Here is a 17,434-nt window from a genome sequence, read left to right as displayed (position 1 = left end):
CATTAGTCCTGTGGGACAATTGCGCTGGTTTCAAAATCTGGAAGGGAAGAGCTAGCTGAAGATAAGACAGATCCTAAGTATTTTAAGCCAGACCAGCTTCACGACAGATTTGATTTATCAACATTTCAAACATAATGCCTCCATACCGCATTAAAATCTGCTCTCCTATAACCAGGTCTTTTCTCTGCTTATGACCACATATAATATAAAACTACTGATTTGCTCATCATCTTTTAAACAAATCATATTCTTCTAAAATAGGACTTTCAAAACTATAAATAGTTGCTAACTTAGAAAAATCCAGTGGAGACTGCTAATGGTTTCCTTCTTTCTCTCTTCCTATGCTAGCAGTAGAATCTCCATTGCTACTTCTGTGGGAGTGCTTGTTTGTTAATGTTTTGGGAGAAACTGTGGTTTCTTTTTTTTTCTTTTTTTTTTTTTTTTTTTGAGACAAGAGTCTCTTGTTGCCCAGGCTGGAGTGCAATGGTGCGATCTCCACTCACCGCAACCTCTGCCTCCCGGGTTCAAGTGATTCTCCTGCCTCAGCCTCCTGAGTAGCTGGGATTGCAGGTATGTACCACCACGCCCAGCTAATTTCATATTTTTAGTAGAGACGAGGTTTCTCCATATTGGTCAGGCTGGTCTCGAATTCCCTACCACAGGTGATCCGCCCTCCTCAGCCTCCCAAAGTGCTAGGATTACAGGCGTGAGCCACCGCCCCTGGTGAAACTGGTTTCAAAGATGGAAAAGGGAAGAATCTGTCAAAGCAGTAAGCGCACAGGAATGCTAACCCTAGGACTGACTCCAGGTAGGGTTGAGTAACTCCCATTGGGCAGTTACTCGAAGATTTTACCCCCACTCTGCCTAAAATTTTCATCCCACTTTATTAAACTACATGGTATTTCATCCAATTCATTTAGCAAATGACTCTGAGAAGATTACAGAGCTTTCAGCTATACATGAATCACTTGTACAAACTGCTTTTCCCTTACCACCCAGCTTCCATCTAACACACTGAGTTGGGAGCTTTAATGGGAATGGGGTAGGATTGGGAAAATGACTCAAAAGCAAAGGAAATTTGGGCCAAAAGGAAATTTGGGCCATAAATGAGGAAGAAGATAGGCCTGGATCAGATATTAAAGTAGAGGGATAAGGGTAGCATCAAAGTCCTATATACCTTAAATCTTAGAAGAGGGAGAAGAGTTCAAAAAAAGGGTGCAAGAGATGAAAAGATATCAAAGGTAAGCATCATTTTTAAAGTGTGCCTCATGTTAATCCTGTGCCAGGAATGGTAGATAGGACTCTTTTCCCTTCCCTGGGATACTTCTAACATTTAGAACCCAAGTGTAGTAGGGTTCTCCAGAGAAGCAGAACCAACAAGATATGTGTGTGTGTGTGTGTGTGTAAAAAGAGCTTTATTATAAAGAATTGTCTCACACAATTATGGAGGCTGACAAGTCCCAAGAGCTTCAGGGTGAGCTGGAAAGCTAGAGACCCAAGAGAGCCAGTTGTATAGTTTCAGTCCAAAGGCCAGCAAGGCTCAAGAGGTGATGATTCAGTTTGAGTCTGGAGACAGGAAGAAGCCAATATCCCAGTTTGAAAGTGGTCAGGCAGGAGGAATTCCTTTCCTCAAGGGAGGATAAATCTTTTTATTCTATTCAGGCCTTCAACTGATTGGATGAGGCCCACCCATATTAGGGAGAGCAATCTACTTTATTCAATCTATCAATTTAAATCTTAATCTCATGCAAAAATATCTTCACAGAAATACCCAGAATAGGCCGGGAGCAGTGGCTCAGGCCTGTAATCCAGCACTTTGGGAGGACAAGGTAGGCGGATCATGAGGTCAGGAGTTCAAGACCAGCCTGGCCAACATGTAGAAACCCCGTCTCTACTAAAAATACAAAAATTAGCCAGGTGTGGTGGCATGAGCCTGTAATCCCAGCTACTCAGGAGACTGAGGCAGGAGAATTGCTTGAACTTGGGAGGTGGAGGTTGCAGTGAGCCGAGATCACGCCGTTGCACTCCAGCCTGGGCGACAGAGCAAGGTTCCATCTTGGGGGAAAAAAAAAAAAAACACCCAGAATAATGTCTGACCAAATCCCTGGGCACGTCATGGTCCAGCTAGGTTGACAAGTAAAAGTAAGCATAACACTAAGTTAGTAATACAGCTCAGCCACATTGTCCATTCAACATTTACAAAGACCTGTGCTAGACACTCTGGAATACTCATAGCTAAATTACATATGATTCCTTCCTTCTAGTGTAAGAATGATAACCCATATATAATTCTAGGTAGAGAGCATTAAGTACCACAAGGGGGTCTAAAAATTGAGATGACTTCGGTAGGGAGAGATTATTTTTTCCATAAGGTTTCATGAAAAGCATTTCAGCAGGGCACTGAAGAATGATGACAATGGCATAAAGGAAAAAACATTCCTAACGAAGAAAGGAAACATAAAAAGACAAAGAATCAGGAAACCATGGCAAGTCATGTAGTTTAACTGTTATTTATTTATTTATTTATTTATTTATTTATTTATTTATTTTTATTTAGATGGGGTCTCACTCTGTTGCCCAGGCTGGAGTGCAGTGATACCATCTTGGCTCACTGAGGCCTTGACCTCCTGGGCTCACAAGTGATCTTCTCACCTCAGCCTCTCAAGTAGCTGGAACTATAGGTGTGCACCACCATGCCCAGCTAATTTTGTTTATTTTTTGTAAAGACAAGGTCTCAGCCAGGCGTGGTGGCTCACGCCTGTAATCCTAACACTTTGGGAGACCGAGGCAGGCAGATCACGAGGTCAAGAGATCGAGACCATCCTGGCCAACATGGTGAAACCCTGTCTCTACTAAAAATACAAAAATTAGCTGGGTGTGGTGGTGCATGCCTGTAGTTCCAGCTACTGGGGAGGCTGAGGCAAAAGAATCGCTTGAACCCGGGAGGCGGAGGTTGCAGTGAGCCGAGATCGCACAACTGCACTCCAGCCTAGTGACAGAATGAGACTCTGTCTCAAAAGAAAAAAAAAAAAAAAAAAGACAAGGTCTCTCTACATTGCTCAGGTTGCTCTAGAACTCCTGGGCTCAAGTGATCCTCCCACTTTAGCCTCCCAACATGCTGGGATTATAGGTGTGGGCCACCGCACCCTGCCAATTTTATTCTTTTTTTTTTTTTTTCCAGAAACAAGGTCTCACTCTGTCACCCAGGCTGGAGTGCCCTGGTATAATCATGGCTCACTCAGCCTTGACCTGCTGGGCTCAAGTGATCCTCTCACCTCAGCCTCCCAAGTAGCTGGGACAACAGGTGCATGCCACCACACCTGGCTAATTTTTTAATGGAGATCTTGCTGTGTTGCCCAGGCTGCTCTTGGACTCCTGGCCTCAAGCAATCTTCCTACCTTGGCCTTCCAAAGTGTTGGGATTACAGGCATCAGCCACTGTGCCAGCCAAATGTATTTTAAAGTATATGAGGAAGAACAAAAGCGATTTGTATAACAGTAGGTAGCAAAAGGAATTCAGAACTTCCCAATCTCCCCAGTAGGTCTTTCTAAAAACCTTTGGCCCAGAATCTTTCTGGAACTGTCTCAGTTCAACTGCTAAATACTTCTGGGAAGTAACTTACTTCCATTCTGCTAATTCCTGCCATTTCCTAGAGTTTCCCTCCTTCTCAGGCCTTAGATATGCCCAGTACCCCATTAGGCTCTAGATTTAAAAGGCTTTTGAGGGGGAATCCGAGCACCTAATCAACATTTACAGCATATTTCATGAAACATATTTCAAATACAAAACATGAATTTCAAATTCATGAAACAAATATCTATCATTGCCTAGTATGTATCACGTATTGTGATAAGTCCAGGGACTACAAAAATGAATAAAAATATGTTTCCTGCCCTAAAGGAACCCACTGTCAACTTTGGAACAAAGACTCTTCACAAAATGGAAAATGCCTATGGAGACATCTTGAGAAGAGCCAAACATATCTTCTGGCTGGGCACGATGGCTCACGCCTGTAATCTCAGCACTTTGGGAGGCTGAGGTAGGGGGATCATTTGAGGTCAGGAGTTCAAGACCAGCCTGACCAACATGGTGAAACCTCATCTCAAATGAAAATACAAAAATTAGCTGGGCGTGGTGGCGCACGCCTGTAATCCCAGCTACTCAGGAGGCTAAGGCAGAAGACTTGCTTGAACCCAGGAGGCGGAGACTGCAGTGAGCCAAGATCATGCCACTGCACTCCAACCTGGGCGATTGAGTGACTGCCTCAAAAAATATATGTGTGTGTTTGTATGTGTGTGTGTATTTGTGTGTGTGTGTGTGTGTGTGTGTGTGTGTGTATCTTCCACGTCAGTTCTAACCAAGAAAGCAATTTTGCCTGATTTGTGACCACAGGAAAAAGGGTGCTCACTTTACTTTCAAATCAGTGCCCCAGTCACTGTTAGCACAAGCCACAGCAGTGGAGTAACCAACACATGATGTAAAATGCCTTCTATTTGCCTGGTGCTATGGCAAGTACTACAGGCAAGATCTGTAAAGATGGAAAGGGGCATCCCAGAGAAGAAAGCAGCAATCACAGCTAACGCAACTTATCCTGCTTCTGGGCTTCATCTTCCCCTAACTCATAGATTCAATCTGTCCTCCACTTTGACAGTCAAAGAGATCACCCTAAAACACAAGTCTGCTAATGTCAATGATACTGCCTTTGGAAAAATTATAACAGTGAAAAAAATATGGCAGTAAGAGATCTTATCTAACCCATGCTCCCCCATCTTGCCTTTCCCTTAATCATTCCTATGCTTAGGCTAAACTAACTTTGGGAGACATTTGGTTTATAGTTTAAATGATAAGAAACCTTCCCCAAAACTCAACCACCTTTGTAAAGCTAATGAAAGGCCATCAGGATAGAGGGAGGAGAGGAACCTGAATTCTGCTAAGCTGTAGACTGGTCACCAGATATGTCCTGCACATAACATCACTGTTGTAGATTGGCCTTTTGAGATATCTTTTCAGGTTTTTTGCATGTCTGACACCCAGAGCTCCACCTGGACCTGCCAACTCCACTCCTGTGGCCCTAGCCAGAAGCAACTCGCTAAAGAGAGCAGCTTCAAGATCCTATGATTTCATCTCCACCCAAACCAATCAGCCGCAAGCACTCCAACCCCTTCCCCCAAACTGCCTTTGAAAAACCTCTAACCTGGGGGGAGGGGGGAGGGATAGCATTTGGAGATATACCTAATGCTAAATGACGAGTTAATGGGTGCAGCACACCAACATGGCACACGTATACATACGTAACAAACCTGCACATTGTGCACATGTACCCTAAAACTTAAAGTATAATAATAATAAAATAAAATAAAATAGGAAAAAAATAAAAACCTCTAACCTATGAGCTGAAGATGAGGTTGATTTGAATAACAACTCCATCTCCCATGTGGTGTGGCCAGCCTTGTGTCAATTAAACTCTTTCGTCCCACCGCATAAACTCTTTCTTTACTGCAATGCTGTGGTCATTATTTGTACAGCAGGCAGGAAGAACCCATTGGGTGGTTACATCAATACCCTGCCTAAAATCTAGGTATAGTTCTCCATCACCTTGAGGATAAAATCTAAACTTCTTCACCAAGCATACCAGGCTCTTCGTAATCTGGTCCCTGATTACTTCTAATCACTGTGCCTGTGTACTCTCTGTGACAACAGGCTCAGCTACTTGCAGTTCCCGGAACACATCACTGACTTTGCACTCCCTCACATCACAGACTTTGCGTGTATTGTTCCTTCTCCCTAGACGGCCCTCCTCTCAATTTCTACTCCTCTTTCAGAACTTAGCTCTTAAAAATAGAAAGAAAAGAGAAGAAAAGAAAAGGTTTCTCTGTTCTCAGCATTCTCATCCCAGGATGAGTTAGTAAGCCCTCCCCTATGCTCCTGTAACACTTGATTTGTCCTTTAATCATAACGCTTGTTATTCTTTTTTTTTTTTTTTTTTTTTTTTGCGACAGAGTCTCGCTCTTGTCGCCCAGGCTGGAGTACAATGGCACGATCTCAGCTCACTGCAACTTCCGCCTCCCGAGTTCAAGCAATTCTCCTGCCTCAGCCTCCCAAGTAGCTGGGACTACAGGCACCCATCATCATGCCTGGCTAATTTTTGTATTTTTAGTAGAGATGGGGTTTCTCCATGTTGGCCAAGCTAGTCTCAAACTCCTGACCTCAGGTGATCCAACTGCCTCAGCCTCCCAAAGTGCTGGGATTACAGGCATGAGCCACCGTGCCTGACCCATGCTTGTCATTCTGTTCTGTAACTGTTTGACTTGTCTCCTTTAAAAGACTATGAGCTCCTTAAGGGCCACCATGTTTTTATTTCCATTAATATACTTAGTACCTAATATAGTGCTTAGTATCTAGCAGGCATTCAGGAAACTACATGCTTATTAAGGAATTCAATGAGTGAATAAACAGCACCAAACATTTACTGGATTCCATGTGTGAGGCACATGGTGAAGTCTTAAACTTAATCAATGTATTGAGTTTGTGAAAGGAAAATAAAATCTTGGGATCCCAAATTCACTATGCCAAAGGGAAAAGTTAAGCTTGGGAACTGAGTCATGCAGAAACTGCCTTCTTTTTGTTCCTAAACAGATAGCTGTAATTTCACAGTCTTACATTATCTTATGTAAAATGTAGATCTATTGAGCACTAGATAAATGCATAATTGACTTCCCCTCCATTCCTTTCTTTTCACATGTAAAATGCGAATTCACTGAGTGCTAATCAAAGCCTCCCAAGAATGTAACTGTTTGCCTCACTGCCTACCCTCCCCTTTCTTTTTCTTTCCTCCTCCTCCTCCTGCCTGTTCTTTCTCCTTTAAATATTGAAGTCCTCGGCTGGGCACGGTGGCTTACGCCTGTAATCCCAGCACTTTAGGAGGCTGAGGGGGGCGGATCACGAGGTCAGGAGATTGAGACCATCCTGGCTAACACGGTGAAACCCTGTCTCTACTAAAAATACAAAAAAAAAAAATTAGCCAGGCATGGTGGCGGGCACCTGTAGTCCCAGCTACTCAGGAGGCTGAGGCAGGAGAATGGCGTGAACAAGGGAGGCGGAGCTTGCAGTGAGCCCCGAGATCGTGCCACTGCACTCCAGCCTGGGCAACAGAGCAAGACGCCATCTCAAAAATAAATAAATAAATAAAGACAAAAATAAAATAGTCTTCCTGTATCATAGAATCATAAACTCTCTAGCTAGAGAAACTCCTCTACAATCACATGATCCAAACTTCTTACTGTATAGATAAGGGATCTAAGGTCCAGAGAAATTAAAAGAATACATGGCCAAATCAAGGTCACAATATGAACATCATTCCCCTCCTCAAAAACCTTCAGATAAATTCCAAACTCCTTAGCACGGCATTCAAAGCTCTTTACAACCTGACCTCAACCCACCTATTCAATCTCATTTCCCTCTCATGTCTCCTACAAGCCCTTGGTTCCAATCTGTTTTCTTCCTATCCTCTGAACTTATGCTACTTGGCCTCATTCTGTTCTTTTTCTGGAGTGTCCCTCCACCTTCCTCTCCAACCTTTGCAGGTTTGCAACACTCACTTGTTCAGAAAGCCTTCCCTGGCTTAGCCCATGGGGCAGCTCTCATAGCTCTGAACTCCCAAAGCCTTCATGGTCCATGACACTTGTTGGCTGATGTTATTGCGAAAGTTTCCCATTCACAATAATTGCACCTCGGATAAACCTCATTGGCTACAATAATACCACTGCGCACAACCAGCCAGTATTATTTTACATGCATTCCCAACATTGTGATTTACATGATCTTCTATCTTATTACCTCTCACCCCATCTAGACTGCAACCTCCTTAAAGGCAAGAGATTGTACTTTATATTTCTCCACAGCTCCCAACTGCACCTAACCTGTGACTATGAGCATTTACTGAGCACCTATAATGTGTAAGTTGCTGTTCTAAGGCCTTTGTGTACATGATGTCATTTGATCCTCATAATTCAGCCAGGCACGGTGGCTCACGCCTATAATTCCAGAACTTTAGGTGGCTGAGGTGGGAGGACTGCTTGAGCCCAGCAGTTTCAGACGAGCCTGGGCAATATAGAGAGACTTCATCTCCACAAGAAATTTAAAAATTAGCCAGGCATGGTGGCACACATCTGTAGTCCCAGCTACTTGGGAGGCTGAGATGGGAAAATTGCTTGAGCCCAGGAAGACGAGGCTACAGTGAGCTGTGATCAAGCCACTGCACTCCAGCCTGGTAACAGAATGAGACTCTGTCTCAAAAAAGATCTTCATAATTTTCTCAAATGAGAAAAGTGAGGCTCACAAAAGAGTAAACTGTCAAGATCACACAACTTAACTAAAAAGTGGCAGAGCTATAGTGAAATGCAGGTTCCTCAGCTTCCATAAAAACATTTAGCCAAAAACCATGCTGCCTCTAACCCAGTTGGTGTCTTGAATGGGACAGGTGCACCCGAACTGCTCAGTGACTAACCAAGACATTCACAAGCCCAGGCAGAGGGCCAAAGTATACATGACAAAGAATCAGAGCAGGCTTGATGCTCCCTTCCCCTGAAGCCCAGATTTGGGTTTCCCCAGGTCCCTGCAGGGTCTCCTTTGTTTCTTGGCATTGACTCTTCACCTTGTGCCAATTTAGGCAGAGGCCCCACTCTGTTCCCCAGGTAGCTTATCCAGGAGCCCTGACCAAATGGGTAAGACAGCAGGATACAAAAAGCCAGATTCCTCTGAAGCAGTGAGAAAAGTGATTCTTGAGCAACTGGCTCACTGGAAGGGAGCCCTTTCCTATGGCCACCCTGCTCCTGTGTTTTCCTTTCGGGGCCTGTTAGGCAACTTTGGGATTAGAGAAACAAGACTTTGCCAACAAACTGTGTCTAACAGAGTCGGAGTGGAAGAAGCCCTGACACCTTGCAAACCCTGGACAGCGGGAAGACCCGTCTCTCTCCTGCCTTGCCCTGACTGAGGGCCACATCCTCCGTGTGCCCATGGGGAAACACAGCTTGGAAAACAGGCTTTTCTACCCTGGCGGCAACAGCTGCCATTTACTGCCATCAGTTATGTAATTTAATAACTTATTGCCAAGCTCTATACCTGGTACTTTAAATGCTTTGTGTTTTTGGGGGGCTTTTTTGTTTTTTTCCCCCCACCTCAATCCTTGTTAACATTCTGTGGACTATAGTCCACTGCAGTAGTTAAGGACACAGGCTCTGAGGTTGGGCTTCCATGTTCAGAATCCCAGCTCCACAACTTAAGAATTGTGTTACTGTTGGCATGCTGCTTAACCTCTCTATGCCTCAGTTTTCTTATCTGAGAAATGACAACTACAATAGTACCTAATTCCTAGAGATATATGGGGATTAACTGTATTAATAAATATAAAGTGCTCAATACAGTAGCTATTATAACTATTACATGGTATCATCTTCATTTTACAAATGTCGCAATTGAGCCCTAGAGAGCTTAAGTCAGTTGTCCAAGATCACGCAGATAATAGAGAACAAAGTGGATTTAAATCCAGGTCCAGTCTGTCTGACTCCCAAGGCACCAAACACCCAGTGCTTGAAGTTTCTCTCTCTGTGTCTCTTTCTCTCAAGCTGAACTATACTTACAGAGCTGTTGGGGTGGTTAAAGAGCTACAATAGGACCCAAGTTAGAATTAAGTTCCCAGGGTCACCCTGAAGAAGTGAAATTATGTAGGGCCCAGAGCTGCCATTAAGAATGTGGGGTTTGGGGCCAGGCGTGGTGGCTCAGACCTATAATCCCAGCATTTTGAGAGGCCCAAGTGGGTGGATCAGCTGAGGTCAGGAGTTCGAGACCATCCTGGCCAATATGGTGAAACCCTGTCTCTACTAAAAATACAAACAAAAATTAGCTGGGTGCGGTGGTGGGCACCTGTAATCCTGGCTACTAGGGAGGCTGAGGCAGGAGAATCACTTGAACCCAAGAGGCAGAGATTGCAGTGAGCCAAGATCACACCATCGCACTGCAGCCTAGGCGACAGAGAATCCGTCTCAAAAAAAAAAAAAAAAACATGGGGTTTGGGCCAGACGCAGTGGCTCATGCCTATAATCCCAGCACTATGGGAGGCTGAGGCAGGAGGATCACTTGAGCCCAGGAGCTAGAGACTAACCTGAACAATATAGCAAGACCCCGTCCCTACAAAAATAAGTTAAAAAGTTAGCCACATGTGGTGGCACACACCTCACACCTGTGGTCTCAGCTACCCAGGAGGCTGAGGTGGGAGGATCGCTTGAGCCCAGGAGGTTGAGACTGCAGTGAGGTATGTTCACACCACTGCACTTCAGCCTGGGTGATACAGCAAGACCCTGTCTCAAAAAATAAAAAACAAAAATAAAAAAAGAATGTGGGGTTTGGGCTGAGTACAGCAGCTCAAGCTGATATATAATCCTAGCACTTTGGGAGGCTGATGCAGGAGGATCACATGAGCCCAGGAGTTTGAGACCAGTGTAGGCAACAAAGTGAGACCCTGTCTCTACAAAAAATTAGCCAAGTGTGGTCGCATGCGCCAGCTGCTCCGGAAGCTGAGGCAGGAAAATCACTTAAGCCCAAAAGGTCATGGCTGCAGTGAGTCGTGATTGTGACATGGTACTCCAGCCTGTGCAACAGAGTGAGACTCTGTCCCAAAAAAAAAAAGAATGTGTGGTTTGGAAAATTTTCACCCAGCCTACCCCCAGTGATTTTGCACAAGTGACATCAGGCTGAAATGATATCAAAAGCAGTATTAAAGGGGGAAAGAAGTCACAAAAGGGCATCATGAAGAATTAGAAGAATGGGAGAAAACAGGGAAGGAAGTCCCAGCTGCCACTGCCTTTGTGCCTCTGTGTGGTGGAGGGGACAGCAGCTTAATGTATGAGCCTCCGACAAAAATGTGGCACCAGTTGGTCTGAGTATGTCTTTTTTATTTTTTTATTTTGAGACAGACTCTGCCCTCTGTCACTCAGGCTGGAGTGCTGTGGGGCAATCATGACTCACTGCAGCCTCGACCACCAAGGCTCTAGTGATCATCTTGCCTCAGCCTCTCAAGTAGCTGGGACTACAGGCATGTGTCACCATACTCAGCTAAATTTTTAAATTTTTTTTTTTTTTTTTTTTTAGAGATAAGGTCTCGCTATGTTGCCCAGACTGGTCTTGAATTCCTGGGCTCAAGGAGTCCTCCCACCTCGGCCTCCCAAAGGATTGGGATTACAGGCATGTGCCACCATGCCTGGCCTGAGCATTTCTTGTGCATCTTTCTCCACAAATGCCCCTCCCTCCCTTTTTTTGAGATGGAGTCTCACTCTATTACCCAGGCTGGAGTGCAGTGGTATGATCTCAGCTCACTGCAACCTCCACCTGCTGGGTTCAAGTGATTCTCATGCCTCAGCCTCCCGAGTAGCTAGGATTACAAGTGTGCACCACCATGCCCAGCTAATTTTTATATATAGATAGATACCTATATATATAGATATCTATGTCTATCTATCTGTGCATGTGTGCGTGTGTGTGTGTGTATAAATATATATATATATACATATATATTTTTTTTTAGACAAAGTCTCACTCTGTCACCCAGGCTGGAGTACACTGGCAAGATTTTAGCTCCCTGCAACCTCCTCCTCCCGGGTTCAAGCAATTCTCCTGCCTCAGCCTCCTGAGTAGCTGGGATTATAGGCGTGTGCCACCTCGCCCAGCAAATTTTTGTATTTTTGGTAGAGATGGGGGTTTCACCATGTTGGCCAGGCTGGTCTCAAACTCCTGACCTCAGGTGATCCACCCACCTCGGCCTCCCAAAGTACAGGGATTACAGGCATGAGCCACCATGCCCAGCCTTAATTTTTATATTTTTAGTAGAGACAAGGTTTCACCAAGTTGGCCAGGCTAGTCTCAAACTCTTGGCCTCAAGCAATCCTCCCACTTCAGCCTCCCAAATTGCTGGGATTAAAGCCATGAGCCACCGTGCCTGGCCCTGCCCCATTTAACTACTGCCTAGCATCCTGGTCTGAATGGAGAGAAGTAATTATAGTTCCCTACGGATGACTCATGACTCCGCAAGGCTCAAATTGCCCTGCCATCTCACTACTACAGTTTGTAAGAACAACTAACAAATCCATTTCTGGTCCCCCAGGGAACATACACTCATTCTCCACTTCTGGGTGTGCTTGAGGCCATGCTGTTGTATCTGGAGAGATGAGGGGCAAGCTGAGGGATAATTGCAGTTGCCACCTCCACCACATTCCCCCCACAGCCTTTCTTAAGGAGCCCAGTGTCTTGCCTTCCCATGGCCACTGTGTCCTAAAAGGGAGAGTCAGAAAGTGGCAAGGGGCTGGACTCACACCCCACTCTCCTGTGTCAGCTGCTGCATGACTGAGCTAGCCTGTCTGGTTCTGAGAGCTCCCAAAGGCTTGCAAGACAGACAGTTGGGTACTGTGAGAATTAGCCCCAGAAGTCCATGTTCAAAAAAAGACAAACCGTTTGTTCCTGAGGAAAGAGATCCTATTTTATTTATCTTTTTTTTTTTTTTTTTTTTTGAGATGGAGTCTCACTCTGTCGCCCAGGCTGGAGTGCAGTGGCGCGATCTCGGCTCACTGCAACCTCCGCCTCCTGGGTTCAAGCGATTCTCCTGCCTCAGCCTCCCAAGTAGCTGGGATTACAGGTGCCCGCCACCACCCCGGCTAATTTTTGTATTTTTAGTAGAAGTGGGGTTTCACCATCTTGGCCAGGCTTGTCTTGAACTCCTGACCTAGTGATCCACCTGCCTCGGCCTCCCAAAGTGCTGGGATTACAGGCGTGAGCCACCACGCCCGGCTTATTTTATTTATCTTTGAGAATTCAGCAACTGGCCCTTGTTAGATACATGAAAAACATCAGTGAAATTTAATTGTTTTTAAAGGGCAGAACGCCTACATGTTGGTTAGAAACAAGCCATAAATCTGACCAATTTCCTGCATGTCAACGTGTCGCCAGTTTTCTGGGAACAGGATGATACCTCTGTCACAGAAGCGATCAAATCCTCTAGGTCCAACTCATAAATCTAAGGGTGTGATGGCTAAACAACCAACATCTGATTTCTGAGAACTGACCTTGGACTATTCAGAAGGTATGGGAATTTCATCCTCCACCTCCCAACCCCTCACATGATTCATACCCAGGAATAAAACAAGGCAGATTTCAGACTGGATTAAGAAAATTTCTAACATCTTATCCAGCCTCTGACAAGTTACCAGGACATTGCACAAAAAGCAGAAACATAAAGAGAGCAAGCCCAGCTCCTAAATCACTTCCTCTCAGCATCAGCACATCAGCAGCCACTGATCCACATTCTGACCCACACGCATGCACCAGACACATGTAATACACTCACAAAGCTTCACCTTAAACTCTTAAGTAGCAGTGACATACAAGACATTATCACAGAACACAGAATCTCACATGTGTTACAGGAGCTCCCCGGACAATACTAACCAAACCGTAAGAATCTAACTCCACCTACCCTTCACCATATCTGTATGAATACTGGGAGCTGGAACATGCACATGTGTCTCTCTGTGCCCTGGATCTGTCAGGTTCTATGGAAAAGGGGAAATATGAAACAGAGACCCTGATGGCTATGAAAAGAATTTCCTGCTATTTGCTTCAAAGACACATAGGCAGGAAACAGTTGGGAAATCTATCAAAACAATCATAGCCTACTCTAGAAACTGAATATTAGAGAGGCAGGCAGAACAGGGAGGGAAGTCATGTTATTACTGGAACATAAGAAGTCTGTGCAATGGCAGGGAAGCTACCAACTGGGCCTCCTTCCCCAGAGCCAAAGGAAGCTCCTGCCTCCAGACTCTCCTCACCACACCCACAGTGGGCCTCTTCAGCCCTTAGAAACACAGAGCTATTCAAGAAGAGATGCAAATAAAACTCACTACTTGTTCCTTTTGGGGGAGGGAGGCACATGTGACAGAAAAAGCAGCATTCGGGGCTCTGCCACACCTGCCTCAACCTACCACTGTTAATCACAGAATCAGAACTTGAGAACACAAAAGATGATCTCACTCAAATCCAACAGCTTACAGATAAGAAAACTCCCGTCCAGAGTGAGCGAGTGACTTTCTCATGGTAACAAAGAACGTCGGTAGCTTAGCTGACACAGAACAAGGCCTCCTCACTCCCAGCCCAGAGCCTTTCCCTCACTTCTGGATCTTCCTGAGGCCAGAGTGTGTGAACATCCCCAAAACTGAGCTGCATAAAACTCTCTGATGTCCTCACCCGAGGCAGTGGGTATAACTGGACTGGCCTTCCAAACTTGCTAGTGGATGAGATGGAAGCAGAAAGATTAATACTTCCTCCTGTTTGTCTGTCTTGCTCAGCTCAGGGCCCTAGGGGAGTCACAAAAGATGAGGACACGTGAAGACTACAGCTGCAGGTAACAGGATCCCCGTTTCACATCCCAGGCTGCAATTCCACTGTCCCCCATTCACTGCTCTCAGCAGTCCCCACTCTTGAGCAGACTGAGGTGAAGCAGCTAAACTTCATGTCACTCCACCTCCATGGCAGAGCATGGCAGGCCCGAGAGAAGTCACTACAACTGCTCCCCTCCCAATGCTCATCGCCCAACCGAGCACCAAACCACATGGAGGTCCTCAGCTGGGAAGTTCCCCAACAGGACAGAGAGAGAAGTGAAACCCATCTGGGGGAGAAAAATAAATGAAAGGTAAATGTAAGAGATGCTGCCTCACAGTGCCTCCTCTGGTATAAAGGCAAGTGCAATTTTATCCACTCTTGGTCCTCCCACCCCACCCCTCCAAGAGCCCAAAGAAAGAAAGAGAGCACGGACCACATTATTGTTTTGGGTTTTGTTTGTTTGTTTGTTTGTTTGAAATGGAGTCTCGCTCTGTCGCTCAGGCTGGAGTGCAGTGGCGTGATCTTGGCTCACTGCTACCTCTACCCACTAGGTTCAAGCAATTCTCCTGCCTCAGCCTCCCTAGTAGCCGGGATTACAGGCATGCGCTACCAAAGCCTGGCTAATTTTTGTATTTTTAGTAGAGACGGGGTTCCACCATGTTGGCCAGGCTGGTCTCAAACTCCTGACCTCAGGTGATCCACCCGCCTCAGACTCCCAAAGTGCTGGGATTACAGGCGTGAACCACCGTGCCGGCCTACATTGTTAATTTTACAGAGGAACAAGACCCAAACTGTGGTGACTGAAGAAGCCAAGATTCCATTTCCTTCCAGAACCAGACATTCAGCCTTAAATCAGTAGGTCTCAAACATCAATGTTTGAGAAATTCTTCTTTCAGTTGGCCCAAGTGATAACTATAGATCTCAGGGTATTTTTTGTTTTGTTTGTTGTTGTTTTTGTTTTGAGACCGTCTCACTCTGTTGCCCAGGCTGGAGTGCAGTGGCGCGATCTCGGCTCACTGCAACCTCTGCCTCCTGGGTTCAAGCAATTCTCCCACCTCATCTTCCTGAGTAGCTGAGAGTACAGGTGCACACCCCCATGCTCAGCTAATTTTTATATTTTTAGTAGAGACAGGGTTTCACCATGTTGGCCAGGCTCGTCTTGAACTCCTGACCTCAAGAGATCCCCCGCCTCGGCCTCCCAAAGTGCTGGGATTACAGACACGAGCCATCGCGCCTGGCCTAGATCTCGGTTGTTTGTTTTTGAGATGGAGTCTCGCTCTGTTGCCCAGGCTGGAGTGCAGTGGTGCAATCTCGGCTCACTGCAGGCTCCGCCTCCTGGGTTCACGCCATTCTCCTGCCTCAGCCACCCCATCAGCCAGGACTACAGGCGCCTGCCGCCATGCCCGGCTGATTTTTGTATTTTTAGTAAAGACGGGTTTTCACCGTGTTAGCCAGGATGGTCTCAATCTCCTGACCTTGTGATCTGCCCACCTCGGCCTCCCAAAGTGCTGGGATTACAGGTGTGAGCCACCACGCCCAGCCTAGATCTCAGTTTTTAATAAACATCCTCGAAGATCCCAATACAGATGATCCAAGGACCACTCTATGAGAAGTCCTACCCTGTTGCTTTCCTCAGCATTCCTGCTCTCAATCTGGGAATCAACCTGAAAGTTGACACTTTCTGTACCTGAGCTGCATTTTATCTATGTCTTCGTCAGAGGTAAAAGGAAACAAAAGAAAACAAACAAACAAAAAAAAACACAGAAAAGGTCAGGCACGGTGGCTCACGTCTGTAATCCCAGCACTTTGGGAGGCTGAGGTGGGCAGACCACGAGGTCAGGAGTTCAAGACCACCCTGGCCAACACAGTGAAACCCTGTCTCTACTAAAAATACAAAAATTAGCCGGGCGTGGTGGTGCGTGCCTGTAGTCCCAGCTACTCGGGAGGCTGAGGCAGGAGAATCACTTGAACCTGGGAGGCAGAGGCTGCAGTGAGCCGAGATTGCACCACTGCACTCCAGCCTGGGTGACAGAGCAAGACTCCATCTCAAAAAAAACAAAAACAAAAAAACAGAAAAGTACAGAATGTACTGAACTACCCTGAACTGCTGAGTGATTAAGACCACATGCTATATAGTCCCCCAGGCGGCCTGGCTTCATATTCTGGCTCCAGCATACAAGCTGCAAGGCCCTGGGCAAATGACTATACCTCACTCCCCTCATCTGTAAAATGGGGCCAATAAAAGTACCCGCCGCATGTGCTGTTGTGAGGATCAACTGAGGTAATCTAGTTAAAGTGTTTAGCACACTGCCTGGTATATACTGAGCACACAATATTTGTTGGCCACTCATCGTACTATTAGTACACAATATTAGTTACACTAGCTGTGTTAGATGTACTAATTGTAAGCATACAATATTTGTTGGCTATTAGCATTTAATATCGTCATATAAACATATAAGACCCATTACTCATTACACCCAGGCCAGGCACAGTGGCTCATGCCTATAATCCCAGCACTTTGGGAGGCCAAGGCGGGCGGATCACCTGAGGTCGGGAGTTCAAGACCAGCCTGGCCAACATGGCAAAACCCCCTCTCTACTAAAAATACAAAATTAGCCGGGTGTGGTGGCGCATGCCTGTAATCCCGTCTATTCCAGAGGCTGAGGCAGAAGAATCACTTGAACCCCATAGGTGGAGGTTGCAGTGAGTCAAGATTGTGCCATTGCACTCCAGCCTGGGCAACAAGAGCAAAACTCTGTCTCCAAAAAAAAAAAAAAAAAAAAAAAAAACTCATTACACCAAAGAGATTGGATAGGCCAAGTAATTTTTAAGCAGTAGAGAGCCTTCCAAGGAGACTTCTAGATCTAGTAGCCTGGCTTTTGGCTTCATCCTTCTAAGCTACTTCTTCCCCTTTACCCTCCTAGTCTCACCTCTCCCCCTTCCAACCCATGGTCACAGTGTTCTCAGCAGAACTGTACATTTGCATTGTGCTTTTTATAGTTTATAATGA

At 45.6% G+C, this 17,434-nt stretch overlaps 1 long non-coding RNA gene and 1 pseudogene across 2 annotated transcripts in view, besides 4 other annotated features; both read right to left on the bottom strand.

Moving 5' to 3' along the window:
- LIPE-AS1 (LIPE antisense RNA 1) overlaps positions 1–17,434 on the bottom strand; it is a 255,208-nt gene that overhangs the window by 171,707 nt on the left and 66,067 nt on the right. The gene's annotated exons all lie outside the window — the stretch shown is intronic.
- Positions 6,396–7,376: an enhancer, noted in NCBI's record as "OCT4-NANOG-H3K27ac hESC enhancer chr19:42977425-42978405 (GRCh37/hg19 assembly coordinates)". NCBI's record gives its function as "activates a minimal SCP1, AML or CMV promoter by ChIP-STARR-seq in naive H9 embryonic stem cells {active_cell/tissue: H9 hESC(naive)}" and the evidence as "EXISTENCE:reporter gene assay evidence [ECO:0000049][PMID:30033119]".
- RNU4-60P (RNA, U4 small nuclear 60, pseudogene) lies at positions 7,640–7,774 on the bottom strand (annotated as a pseudogene).
- Positions 8,357–9,337: an enhancer, noted in NCBI's record as "OCT4-NANOG-H3K27ac hESC enhancer chr19:42975464-42976444 (GRCh37/hg19 assembly coordinates)". NCBI's record gives its function as "activates a minimal SCP1, AML or CMV promoter by ChIP-STARR-seq in primed H9 embryonic stem cells {active_cell/tissue: H9 hESC(primed)}" and the evidence as "EXISTENCE:reporter gene assay evidence [ECO:0000049][PMID:30033119]".
- Positions 14,512–15,012: an enhancer, noted in NCBI's record as "H3K4me1 hESC enhancer chr19:42969789-42970289 (GRCh37/hg19 assembly coordinates)". NCBI's record gives its function as "activates a minimal SCP1, AML or CMV promoter by ChIP-STARR-seq in primed H9 embryonic stem cells {active_cell/tissue: H9 hESC(primed)}" and the evidence as "EXISTENCE:reporter gene assay evidence [ECO:0000049][PMID:30033119]".
- Positions 14,558–14,767: an enhancer, noted in NCBI's record as "active region_14719". NCBI's record gives its function as "activates an Ori minimal core promoter by ATAC-STARR-seq in GM12878 lymphoblastoid cells {active_cell/tissue: GM12878}" and the evidence as "EXISTENCE:reporter gene assay evidence [ECO:0000049][PMID:35858748]".

The sequence above is a fragment of the Homo sapiens genome, chromosome 19 (genome assembly GCF_000001405.40).
Source record: "Homo sapiens chromosome 19, GRCh38.p14 Primary Assembly".
NCBI lineage: Eukaryota > Metazoa > Chordata > Mammalia > Primates > Hominidae > Homo > Homo sapiens.
The sequence above is the reverse complement of the archived record's forward strand: the minus strand, read 5'-3'. Positions and strand labels throughout refer to the sequence as shown.